Raw genomic sequence first — 13,676 nt, forward strand, 5'->3', positions numbered from 1 at the left:
AGATCGGGATTGGAGTGGGATGGGAAAGGGGAGGGAGGAAATATATGTTAGCAAAATCAAGAGTAACTGGCTGTTTAACTTGATCTGACTGTACACTTACATTGGTAGTGGCCCTTCTTTGATTTTCTCATTGCATAAAAATGAGCAATTTTCACAGATTATATTTCTTTGTTTACAAGAGGATTTTCTCTACAAACTCTCTTGACTGTCCTCCTTCATTCCCCATCTTCCTTCCAGTCTTTTTTCCTTCTACGTGTATTTAGCTCCTACTTTCTGCCAGGCACAATGCAAGGCACAGGGGGTGCAGACAAGAATTTGATAGCCCCTGCTATCAAGAAGTTCTGTAGTGCAGTGTGAGATCCTGTGGCTTTCTTCTCCTCCCCTTAGCCCTTTACCAGATGTTTAATTTTTAAGGCTTTGCAGAAAGCATAAAAAAGCAAAGAGGAAGTATGAGCAATGTCTGTATTGTGAAGCTGACATGATACTCGACTTACTCAGAAAGTCTTTTTTGTTCACAGATAACAATTGGTGTATATGATCCCTGTAACTTAGCCCAGTACCCTGGATGGCCTTTGAGGAATTTTTTGGTCCTAGCAGCCCACAGATGGTATTTACAAGAGTGTGTGTTTGTCTGTCTGTCTGCCTTTGCCAGTATATGTTTTACAATGTGTCTGTTTCTATTTGTATCTCTGTTTTCCTAAATGCATTATTTTTTCATTTTGGGCATGGAAACCAGGTAATCAATAAATCAGTCATAACCCAATTTCCATACTAGTGAACCTTAAGCAGGTCTGTTAGGGACCTGCATACTCTGATCATTCTGTGCTAAAGATGTTTTAGTGTATGGTAGAGTTGGTAGCCAGAGGTCCTGACACAAATTCTGTAGCCCTCCCTTCTAGCTGTCTGGGTTTCTTTCAGATAGGATTTTCCTACTGCTGTCATTCTCCATTTTTCTTAACCCTAAAATAATTAAAACAGAGGATATCTTAAAAGCCAATATACATTTGAAAAGATGCCCAACATCATGTCATTAAGGAAATAAAAATTAAAACCATAATGAGATGCTACTACATATCCACCAAAAGTATTTAATAAAAATGTCTGTACCAAGTGTTGTCGAAGATGTGGAGCAAATACTGCTGGAAAAATGTTGGGCAGTATCTACCAAAATTAAAAATATCTATGGCTCAGCAATGTTACTCTCAAGTATATTACTCACTGAAATACCTACATAGATAGAAGCAAAACACATATACAAGAATGTTTACAGAAGCATTATTCTCAATAACCAAAAGCTGGGAATAGTTCACACGTTCTTCAATAATGAAATGAATAATAAATTTAAGTATATCCCTTATGATGAAATGTCATATACAATGAATCTGAGTGAACTATTAATACAGAGATCAGCATGGCTGAATTTTAAAAACATAATATTAAGTGAAATAAGTTGGACCTAAAATAATACATACTCCATGATTCCATTTATGTAAAGTTAAAATAGGCAAAACCAATGTATGGACTTAGAGTAGTTGTTACTTTTGAAGGCAGTGGTTAATGACTGAGAGAAGGCATAAGACAGCCTTCTTTATACTTGGGATTTGTGTAATGTGTCTGCTTTACTTAAATAAAAATGTTTATTTAAAAATATGAAGATAGATAAATTATAGATTGTTCTCTGAGGGAGACAATCTACAATTATCCAGGTGGTAAGTCTACACAGTGCAAATGGGCTTCCTAACTACTGACTGAGGTACTGCTGCTTAATATGGAAGTTCAGATGGGGAGAGCAGAGGGAACCAAAAGAACCCACGTCCTAGAGGATTTTTTCTAAATGTCTTGTGAGCATTTTTTCCGCATTTAAAAGATTTACTTGTCGGAATTATTTATGTGCAATATGATTGTAGAAAGAAATCACCTAGAAAGAAATCACAGCCAATTCATTTTTCAGCCTCTAAACACTTGGACAGAGGAGCCATATATGAATATGTTCAAAAGAGTTAAGGCCATCTCCTGTGGGTATCAGAGAGGCATAATTAGAATGCATTGAATTCTCTCCAACTGGTTTGCTGAAGCTCTTATGTGAGCTTTTTCTTTTCCTTCCTTTAAAAAAAAATAATAAATAAATAAAAATCCGGGCATGACAACAGGAGTAGCAGTTTCCAGTCTGTTGAAGTTGTTTGCTTCCGTGACCGTACCATGCAGGGGGCGAGAGACGTTGCCCACAGCATCATCTTCGAAGTGAAGCTTCCAGAAATGGCATTTAGCCCAGGTAATTTGCCGGTCTTTGAAAATGCATATAATTATCATTTATCAGAAACGGAACCAGGTTTACTTTCTTTTCATATCGTCACAATGGCAGAAGAAAGGAAGAGAAAAGTACAACTTGTACCTCTTTGCCAATGCAGACACCTACTTCGAACAGAGGGCATGCTCTGCTATTCAGACTGGAACAAAGGCAAAGATTGTGACCAGGAAATTTTCTCTAGGCAGTTTTTTCAGTCTTCAGGATTTGTTCCCCTCTGCTCCCCCCGTTTTCAATTTTACTTTTCTTTAACACAAAATCTTTATTCCTGTCCATTCTTAAAGGAAGGATGAAGTATTAATGCACTTAAATATTTATTTGTTATATACTTAAAGTTGTATGTGATCCTGTTCTTCATATAGTAAACCAGTCAGGAAAAATGCCATTTCTCCTTCCACATTTAATATCTTCATTTGATCCTTATGTGACAGTTATCAGCTTTTACCCCCATTTTATAAATTGAGAAACTTAGACTGAGAGACATTTTATCTATAGAGAGATATATGTGTGTGTGTGTGTATATATATATACACATATATATATTTACATATGTCACAGAGATTGAATACATATTCAAGTTTGAGTAAAATAAGGATATAATGCCCAGCTCCGGATATATTTCTTTTTTTTTTTTTTTTTGAGATGGAGTCTCACTCTGTCGCCCAGGCTAGAGTGCAGTGGCGTGATCTTGGCTCACTGCAAGCTCCGCCTCCCGGGTTCATGCCATTCTCCTGCCTCAGCCTCCTGAGTAGCTGGGACCACAGGCGCCCACTACCACGCCCGGATAATTTTTTGTATTTTTAGTAGAGACGGGGTTTCACCGTGTGTTATCCAGGATGGTCTCCATCTCCTGACCTTGTGATCCGCCCACCTCAGCCTCCCAAAGTGCTGGGATTACAGGCATGAGCCACCGCTCCCGGCCAGCTTCGGGAATATTTCTTACCCGGAATCCATGTCCTATGTCAAAGTCAGAGCACGATGTCTGGCACATCATAGGTGCTTAATAAATGTTATGTAAATTTCCTAGCTCACATAAAGCCCAGCACTTTTATACTTCTTGCCAGAATAATTCCTCATCTCTATGTGATTTATATGCTTTTCAGAGCACTTTCACAACATTTATTATTATTATTATTGAGGCAGAGTCTAGCTTTGTCACCCAGGCTGGAGTGCAGTGGCATGATCTCGACTCACTGCAACCTCCGCCTCCCAGGTTCAAGTGATTCTCCCTCCTCGGCCTCCCAAGAAGCTGGGATTACAGGAGCCCGCCACCATGCCCAGCTAATATTTGTATTTTTAGTAGAGACAGGTTTCACCATGTTGGTCAGGCCAGTCTTGAACTCCTGACCTCAAGTGATCCACCCACCTTGGCCTCCCAAAGTGCTGGGATTACAGGCATGAGTCACTGAGCCTGGCCTCATATATATTATTTAGCTTGTTCCTTATATCATCCTCATGGTTCCAAGGCACATTTCTTTCCTTATGCCATAGATATGCCTTAAAATGTGTGTGTGTGTGATGGGGGAGGTGGTGTCAAAATCTCTTCCAAGGCCAGGCGCCGTGGGTTATGCCTGTAATCCCAGCACTTTGGGAGGCCGAGGCGGGTGGATCACCTGAGGTCAGGAGTTCGAGATTGGCCTGGCCGATATGGCGAAACCCCGTCTCTACTAAAAATACAAAAATGAGCTACGTGTGGTGGCGGGCGTCTGTAATCCCAGCTCTCAGGAGGCTGAGGCAGAAGAATCGCTTGAACCTGGGAGGTGGAGGTGTAGTGAGCCGACTGCACTGCTGCACTCCAGCCTGGGTGACAGAGCAAGACTCTGTCTCAAAAAAAAAAAAAAAAAAAAAAATCTCTTCTGAGATATCTTTTCTAGAGTGCTACAGTCAGAAGGATTCAGGATTGGCCCACATGACATTTTTTCAGCGATTCTATGCTCTAACACAGATGTCTTTACACAATTCGCTGAAAGATTGACAGAGTACTTCTGCTTGATCAAAGGACGATGCTGCTTTTCAGTTTAGAGCCTTTGCCTTTCTGCTGTTTTTAGATATTTGCATTGGATGTAGCACCCTCTCCTGGCAAATTCTAAAATAGCTCCTGTGTAATGTTAACTTACATGCTATACCTTTGTTTTATTAAACCACACTTAAAGATAGTCGCAGGGGTGTCCAATCTTTTGGCTTCCTTGGGCCACACTGGAAGAAGAATTGTCTTGGACCACACATAAAATACACTAACACTAATGATAGCTGATGAGCTAAAAAACAAATGCAAAAAAACTCAATGTTTTAAGAAAGTTTATGAATTTGTGTTGGGCCACACTCAAAGCTGTCCTGGGCCATGGGTTGGACAAGCGTGGTCTTAGGGAATGAGGTGAGAGTTAGCTAAAAAGTAATGTGGGTCTGGTCTGTGTGTCTGACAAGCTGCCAGGCACCTTCCATGGGGTAATCACTTAATTCTGCCAACCACTCTGCAGAGAGGCAGTTTTCTTTCCACTTTTATGACAAAGTCACTGAGTTATTCTTACATCCTACTCTCTATGATAAGGCTCATGCTTGATGATGCTGACATTTTTTTTGCTTTTTTTGAGACAGAGTCTTGCCCTGTCGCTTGAGGCTCGAGTGCAATGGCACGATCTCGGCTCACTGCAACCTCCGCCTCCTGGGTTCAAGCGATTCTCCAGACTCAGCCTCCCGAGTGGCTGGGATTACAGTCGCGTGCCACCACGCCTTGCTAAGTTTTTGTATCTTTAGTAGAGTCGGGGTTTCACTGTGTTGGCCAGGCTGGTCTCGAACCCCTAATCTCATGATCCACCCGCCTCGGCCTCCCAAAGTGCAGGGATTACAGATCCACCCGCCTCGGCCTCCCAAAGTGCTGGGACTACAGGCATGAGCCACTGTGCCCGGTCATTTTTTTTTTTTTTTTTTTTTTTGAGACAGTCTCGCTCTGTTGCCCAGACTGGAGTGCAGTGGCAGGATCTCAGCTTACTGCAATCCTGGGTTCAAAAGCAATTCTTCTGCCTCAGCCTCCTGAGTAGCTGGGACTACAGGTACACGCCGCCACACATGGCTATTTTTTTTGTATTTTAGTAGAGACGGGGTTTCACCGTGTACCCAGGCTGGTCTTGAACTCCTGAGCTCGGGCAATCTGCCTGCCTCAGCCTCCCAAGGTGCTAGGATTACAGGCGTGAGTCACACGTCCAGCCGATGCTGACATTTAAACTCAGGAACCACACCGTACATTTCCATTTGAAAAAGGTTTTCTGTCGTCCACTAATGCCTTTAACACATCTTCTTAATGCCTGATATTAAATGTAGATTATTTAGCTTAGGAAAGGCAAATGAATTTCCTGTTTTTCATGTAAATTAATATGTTCCCTCTTAGCTGTAAATAAAACTTTATGGTAAATACAACTTCATAAAGAATTTTTCTATATCATAATGTAAACTGAAAATATAAGTATGGTTGTACTTTTCAATACTTCTAAGACATCCCATAGTTGCCATGGTAATGGTATAAGGAGTATTATTTTAAATTATTTTATTTTATTTTATTTTTTGAGACAGGGTCTTGACCTGTCACCCAGGCTGGAGTGAGTGCAGTGGCAAAATCATAGCTCACTGCAGCCTTGACCTCCCAGGCTCAAACCATCCCCCCAGCTTAGCTTCCCGAGTATCTGGGACTACAGGCATGTGCCACCACACCCAACTAATTTTTGTATTTTTTGCAGAGACAGGGTTTCACTATGTTGCCCAGGCTGGTCTTGAACTCCTGGGCTCAAGCAATCCTCTAGCCTCAGCCACCCAAAGTGCTGGGACTACAGGTGTGAGCTACCTTGCGCAGTCGAGGAGTATTATTTTAAATATCCTATGTCTTCTTTTGCTTCCTCATGGTGTGTTGTGTTACAGCTCTGGCACCTGGTGGAGGAAGATGGCAGACACTGCTGCGGGTAGAGATCCCATCTTAACTCTGTTTTTTCTTGTGCTGCTCCTGCTTGCCCACTATGGGAGACAGCACCTAATTTTTTCCTAAAAAATATTTTCTTGGCCAGGTGTGGTTGCTCATGCCTGTAATCCCAGCATTTTGGGAGGCCAAGGCAGGCGGATCATGAGGTCAGGAGATTGAGACCATCCTGGCCAACATGGTGAAACCCCGTCTCTACTAAAAATACAAAAATTAGCTGGGCATGGTGGTGCGCACCTGTAGTCGCAGCTACTCAGGAGGCTGAGGCAGGAGAATCGCTTGAACCTGGGAGGCGGAGGTTGCAGTGAGCCAAGATAAGTGCCACTGCACTCCAGCCTGGCGAGACAGCAAGACTCTGTCTGTCTCTCTGTCTTTCTAGCTCTCTCTCTCTCTCTCTCTATATATATATATATAATTTAATTTGGTGTATGTCTTATAGGTATAGATTATATGGATGCAGGTATGGTAAATTACATACTATTGCCATATGTGTTATTTTTTTCATTATTAAGTTTAAAGGGCATCTAATTTTCTTAGAAATGGCTATAGCCTTTATTATTATTATTATTTTTTGAGAGATGAGGTCTTCTTATGTTGCCCAGGCTGGCCTTGAACTCCTGGGCTAAATCCTTCCTCCTGCAATCTTTCCTCCTGCCTTAGCCTCCCAAGTAGCTGGGACTACAGACATGAGCCCAGCATCTGTAACCTTTTGAGTATAGAGAACTTTTAATTTGAAATTATGTCTTATTTTTGTCTAATAATTTCTTACCTGTATCAAGAGAAAACCTAGGCTGGAGTTATGGATTACAATACTAGGCTGTGATTCTGTAGTTCTTGTCAAGTTCCTTGCTATGTATCAAAGACACATTAAAAAAAAAACTTTTATTTTCGGTTCAGGGGTATATGTGGTTTGTTATATAAGTAAACTTGTTTCCCAGGGGTTTGTTGTACAGATTATTTGATCACCCAGGTACTAATACCTAGTACCTAGTATTTTTTCTGATCCTCTCCCTCCTCCCACCCTTCACCCTCAAGTAGGCCCCAGTGTCTGCTGTTCCCCTTTGTGTCCATGAGTTCTCATCATTTAGCTCCTACTTATAACTGAGAACATGTAGTATTTGGTTTTCTGTTCCTGCACTAGTTTGCTAAGGATAATGGCCTCCAGCTCCATCCATGTTCCTGCAAAAGACATGATCTCGTTCTTTTTTTATGGCTGCATAGTATTTCATGGTGTGTGTGTACCACATTTTCTTTATCCAGTCTGTCATTGATGGGCATTTAAGCAGATTCCATGTCTTTGATGTTAAGAGACACATTTTTAATTGAATCTAAGAGTAGTAATAAAATCAAACAAAATATCAATTAATGGCAGGTGGGAACTCTTTTTTTTCCCCACAGAAAAACAATTCTGAAGTCTTAACCTCTTTATGAAACTCAAATCTGACTGGGTATGGTGGCTCATGCCTGTAATCCTAGCTGCTCCGAAGGCTGAAGCTGGAGGATCACTTGAGCCCAGGAGTTCAAGACCAGCTTCAGCAACATAGCAAGACCCTGTCTCAAACAAGAAAACTCTATTATTTCAGTTTTAATTTTTCATGGCATTAAAAAATACCACATCAGAGTGCCCGATTTAAAAGGGGGAAGGACGTTTGTTTTCTGGCTTCTTGCTGTGAATGATACCCTCAGCCAAACTGGGGCCCAACTAGCTTTCAAGGATAATTGGTCCTATGGTTTCTCATTGACCGTCCTATCCCAGAAACAAAAGATCGTGTAAAGGAAATCAGTACCTTCTAGGTCCCGTAATTATATTGGGCAATACTATTTTTTTAAATGTCAACAGCTGAAAAGTTTCCCAAGGAAAGGAAAATTGTGATCTTGATAGAAATTCAAAAGTAGGAGAATGGACAAAGAAAACCAGTGTACAGGCCGGGCGTGGTAACTCATGCCTGTAATCCCACCACTTTGGGAGGCCAAGGCGGGTGGATCACGAGGTCAGGAGATCAAGACCATCCTGGCTAACACGGTAAAGCACCATCTCTACTGAAAATACAAAAAATTAGCCGGGCATGCTGGCGGGCGCGTGTACTCCCAGCTACTCGGGAGGCTGAGACAGGAGAATGGCGTGAACCCAGGAGGTGGAGCTTGCAGTGAGCCAAAATCGCGCCACTGCACTCCAGCCTGGGCGACAGAGCGAGACTCTGTTTCAAAAAAAAAAAAAAAAAAGAAAAGAAAAGAAAACCAGCGTATAATTAGAAACAAAATTAAAATTCCCCCAGTCCCATACATCTTAACTTCAAGTCAAGGAGTTTCTCTTCCTGCAGAGTCTGTTGCTTAAGGCAGACAGTGGAGGTGATGCTGGAAGTGTAGGCTGTGGTGGGGTGAATTTCTTGCTTAGTAGTTCAGGTTTTATTGTGAGCAGTGGGAATTCAATGAGAAAGGGGGAGTAGCAGAGGTCCTGAGATGTAGGGAGCGCAAGAGAGTGGGATCCACTAGCAAGATTTACAAGGCTGTGGTTCCACCAAGGCAAGCAAAGCTTTCATTAACATGAGAAGGTAGCAGGTGTGTTCTGCAAAGCAATTGAGATGTTTAAGAGAATTTTGCAACAGTAGAATACAGCAGTGTTTCCCTGAATGTGTCCCTTGAGATTGTAATTGGTATACAGGGAAATGAAGGGAGATATGGAGAGCCACGTAAGTGTGGGAAACACAAAGCCAAATCAAATCACGTGGGTTCTGTACTGCAGGTTTCTCAGAGCTTTTATCTCCCTCATGTGCAATGTGAATGGCCAGGTTTGAGTGGTAGTGGGGGCTGGATATAGAAGACAGATATAAGTATAGAAGCATTTCCAAAGTCTGTTTAGCTACAGGATCCTTATCCTCTGAGATTATTGAATAGGACACACTTTGGGAACTGCTAGAATTGGAGTTAATTGGAGTTACAGAGGCTCCCATAGCAGGGATTAAAAGAGGGCTGCGGGGAAGGGAGAAGTCAGGGAAGGGAAACTTCTGAATGGATAAAGATGAGCTTAAAGGAAAGGGCAGCTTAATCAAATGACAGTCACCTTGGACTGTGATCTGCTCACAGGTACAGAAGGGACATACTTAATTTAAGGTTCAAATCCCAATAGGAACCTCAGTGAAGGGGTGCTGCAGTTACATTGGCTTGGCTTGCTTAGATAGAGAAGCCTCAGTGGGGTTATACCTACCCCAGAAAAGATTGTCTTTTTTTTTTTTTCAGCAACTTCCAATAACAGTGAAAGTTGAGCCACCTTGGGCCAGAGTTGAGGGCTATTTCAGAAGCTCCTGTACAGGAAGATTGCTTGGGTTTGATGGTCCCTAAACAAGATTCCCAGTAGTTGGGAAAGATGGGGAGGCAACTGTGGCAAGTCTGTGGAAATTCAGGCCCTCAAGTCTCTTTTAGAAAGAAGCAAACCAAAAGCTTGTCAATGCATGGGCCATTATGAATGTCGATCTTTTTTATGTAAGGTCGTTGCTTGATCTGCTTGTTTTTATTCTTCCCTCCTTCATTAAACTTTGTGTTTTATTTGCCTTAAGATTGTCCTAAAGCAGTTGGATGGGAAAAGAACCAGAAAGGAGGCATGGGACCAAGGATGGTGAACCTCAGTGAATGTATGGACCCTAAAAGGTATATTTGGGAAGCTGTTTTCTCCAGTCGGGCTTTTTGTAACCAAGACACACACCAAGTTCTGTCAGGCCAACACAACATTGTGTAATTCAGCCCAGGGGGTGCCAGTCATGCTGCCGTGTGTTACTCTGCTCTTCAATTGAAGTTTGGTTGTGAGAATTAATATTAACAATGCATATCCTGAAGGGCACACTCTTCATCTGTTCTAGACATTCTAAATTTTGTTCTTGTTTAAAGCTCATGCTCTCAGACCACCAGCGTACCTGTACTGCCGTTCAGTCCTTTATGCATTGTCCTCTAGCTTGGTCCTATTGGCCCACTCCCCCGCCCCGTCCCCCACCCCGCCCCAGACAGAGTCTTGCACTGTGCAGGCTGGAATACAATGGCGCAATCTCTGCTCACTGCAACCTCTGCCTCCTGGGTTCAAGTGATTCTCCTGCCTCAGCCTCCTGAGTAGCTGGGATTACAGGCACGCGCCACCATGCCCTGCTAATTTTTTGTATTTTAGTAGAGACAGGGTTTCACTGTGTTGCCCAGGCTGGACTCGAACTCCTGACCTCGTGATCCACCTGCCTCGGCCTCCCAAAGTGCTGGGATTACAGGCATGAGCCACCACACCCAGCCCTTATTGGCCCACCTTGAAGGATATTAGAAGAATTATTTCATGGAAGCCAGTATTGTGTTTAAGGGCGAATCTCAGTGCACTCTTTTTTTTTTTTCTTTTTTTTTGAGACAGAGTTTCACTCCTGTTGCCCAAGCTGGAGTGCAGTGGCATGATCTTGGCTCACTGCAACCTCTGCTTCCCGGGTTCAAGTGAATCTCCTGCCTCAGCCTCCTGAGTAGCTGGGATTACAGGCGCCTGCCACCACACCTAGCTAATTTTTGTAATTTTAGTAGAGAGAGGGTTTTACCATGTTGGCTAGGCTGGTCTCGAACTCCTGACCTCAGGTGATCCGCCCGCTTTGGCCTCCCAAAGCGCTAGGATTACAGGCGTGAGCCGCTGTGCCTGGCCTGAGCGCAGGAGATATGGGAGGCCTTATTAAGGAGATATGGGAGAAATTTCTGTTTTCAGTACTAGGAAAAACTTTCCTCTTAATCAGATGGTGTGTTTTTATTCATGGACACCATGATTCCTATCACTGGTCATGCTCTTCCCTTTTCACCTTGGCTGCTGGAACTCAGTATCAAATCTGTGGCCCCCTCGTTGCAGAGGACTCCAACAGCATGCTGCTGGGTGGGAAGCTTTCTCCTCCCTGCTTACCCTCCAGTTTAATTTTCTTTTTCCTTTGATCCCAATTTCCTTATTATTTCTTATTTTCTTGCATAGCCACTTGAAATCTTTCAGAACAAGATTATTGCATAAAGGAGTGACTGAATAAGTAAATCTCTCCTTTTCTAGGTTAGCTGAGTCATCAGTGGATCTAAATCTCAAACTGATGTGTTGGAGATTGGTTCCTACTTTAGACTTGGACAAGGTTGTGTCTGTCAAATGTCTGCTGCTTGGAGCCGGCACCTTGGGTTGCAATGTAGCTAGGACGTTGATGGTAAGTCGGAGGTGGGGGGTGCAAATGGCACCTTTGAAGTTGTAGCTTCTCTTCTTGTTTTACTCTCATGATTGCCTTCCATCTCCCAGCTCCCCATCCCCTCCATCTCTCCCTCCCTTCCTTTTTCCTTTTCTTATCTTTTTAAGTGTAAAAGAAATACAACCTTTTATCATCAGATAGAAACAGAAAGTCCTCCACACCCATCGCAAGTCCCATTTCCTATTAAGCAGACTTTGTAGATTAGTATGCAGCCTTTTTCCCAGATGTTATTGTAGACATATCTAAATATAGAGAAATCAGTATCTTTGCTGATATTTATTTGTATTTATAAAGATTAGATCATAGCATACTATCTATAACAGGTTTTTATTTTTAACTAGATAGAAAAATGACTGTAGCTACCTTTCTGTGTTTCCATAGTATGTATGTGTAGTATTTTGTTGTATGACTATGTTCTTTATTTAATCAATTTCAGATTACTTTCTATTTTTTTCTATTAGATACTGTTCTCTATTAGAGAACATTCTTATACTTGTATGTTTATATATCCATAGGATTTTTTTTTTTAGGAAAAAAACCCTGGACATAGAATTACTGTGTTAGAGAGAGTATAGAATTTGAATGTCAATATTTTATATATTTGTTTGTCATTAATTTTTTTTTTTTTTGAGACAAAGTCTCACTCTGTCACCCAGGCTGGAGTGCAGTGGCATGATCTCAGCTCACTGCAACCTCCACCTCCTGAGTTCAGCGATTCTCCTGCCTCAACTTCCCGAGTAGCTGGGACTACAGGTGTGCACCATTACACTTGGCTAATTTTTGTATTTTTAGTAGAGACGGGGTTTCATCATGTTGTCCAGGCTGGTCTTGAACTCTTGCCCTCAAGTGATCCGCCTGCCTTGGCCTCCCAAAGTGCTGGGTTTACAGGTGTGAGCCACCACGCCTGGCCAAACATGTTTTTCAAACGAAATTGCCTTCCAAAAATGTTACACATATGAGACACAGAACTTTTTTCCACGCTCTTGCCAAAACTGGATATATCAACTTTTGAAATCTCAGTCAGTTAAGTAACATTTATTGTTTGAATTTGTGTTTCTTTAATTAGCAAGGGTGAGTTTAATTTTATTTCTTTTGTGAGTTTTATTTCTTTTATTCATGTTCTTTGGGTTGTGTCTTTTATTGATTTAGAGTTCTTTTTATTGGGGCAATTAACCTTTTTTCTGTAATATGATGCAAATATTTTTCTCAGTTTATCTAAGGTGTCTTTAGCCATATAAAAGTTTTTTTCAGCTTTATGTTATTATATGTGTCAGTCTTTTCCTTTGTGGGTTATGGAACTCTTGTTTTTATGTTAGAGCTTTATGAATGTGGAAATTTTTTGGTTACATGATAAGGGGTAAAGATCTAGCTACTTTTGCACAAAATGGATTGTTAGTTGTTTTAATGGCATTTATTCAGTAATCTAAATCATCATTTTTCTGTCTTTATCAAATGCTAAACCCCCTTATATACCTGAGTCTCTTTATGGATTCTCTATTTTGACTCATTGATCTATTTTTTTATTCCTATATTCATGCTCACTGTTTTAGTTGAAATTACAATGAATTTATAGATAAATTAGAAGGGATTGATGTATTTTTATGACATTAATCCTTAGTTCTGGGAGCATGGTGTATCTCTTAATTAGATCATCTTTGTTTTTCAGTAGCATTTTCTTTATATAGGCCTTCCATGTATCTAATTGGGTTTAAATATGGTATTTCTGCATATTTAATGATGTTTTTTCCTTTAGAGATATTTTCTCCCGTTAAACTTTCCAGTTGACTATTACTGGGATGTAGGAAAAATAGTGAATTTTGCATATTTGTCTTTGGCCATCTTTCTAAACTCTCTTAGTTCTAAGAGTTTTTTGATTCTTTTGTAGCTTAATAGTATTCCTCACCAACACTTATATCTTCCTTTTCCTTGTCTTATAAGATTGGCTAGAACTCCACAGTAATGTAGAAGAATGGCAGTGAGAGTTGATATCTTTGTTTTATTGCTGACTTTAATGAGAGTGCCTCTTGTTTTTATCTTTAATTTTGATGTTGGTTTCTGGTAAGTGTTCTTTATAATTTAAAGAAGCTGATTTCTGTTTCTGCACGTTTATATCAGAAATGTCGAGCTTTATCAACTACGTTTATCAAGACAAAGTATTCTAATGTTGAGCATTCCTAGA

General features: G+C 41.2%; 1 protein-coding gene across 38 annotated transcripts in view; it reads left to right on the forward strand.

The window, feature by feature from the left end:
• Positions 1 to 13,676, forward strand: part of ATG7 (autophagy related 7) — a 303,957-nt gene that overhangs the window by 58,425 nt on the left and 231,856 nt on the right. For 36 of the 38 annotated variants that reach the window (XR_007095622.1, XR_007095623.1, NM_001349232.2 and 33 more), the window contains 4 exons: positions 519 to 607; positions 2,151 to 2,272; positions 9,824 to 9,914; positions 11,314 to 11,458. Coding sequence is in view for 36 of the 38 variants with exons in the window: in NM_001349232.2 (NP_001336161.1) it covers positions 519 to 607; positions 2,151 to 2,272; positions 9,824 to 9,914; positions 11,314 to 11,458 (447 nt within the window). In the remaining 2 variants the exon portion in view is untranslated. The remainder of the gene's footprint in view (positions 1 to 518; positions 608 to 2,150; positions 2,273 to 9,823; positions 9,915 to 11,313; positions 11,459 to 13,676) is intronic. The other 2 variants (NM_001349238.2, XM_047447309.1) reach the window with 2 other exon arrangements.

Source organism: Homo sapiens, chromosome 3, assembly GCF_000001405.40.
Source record: "Homo sapiens chromosome 3, GRCh38.p14 Primary Assembly".
NCBI lineage: Eukaryota > Metazoa > Chordata > Mammalia > Primates > Hominidae > Homo > Homo sapiens.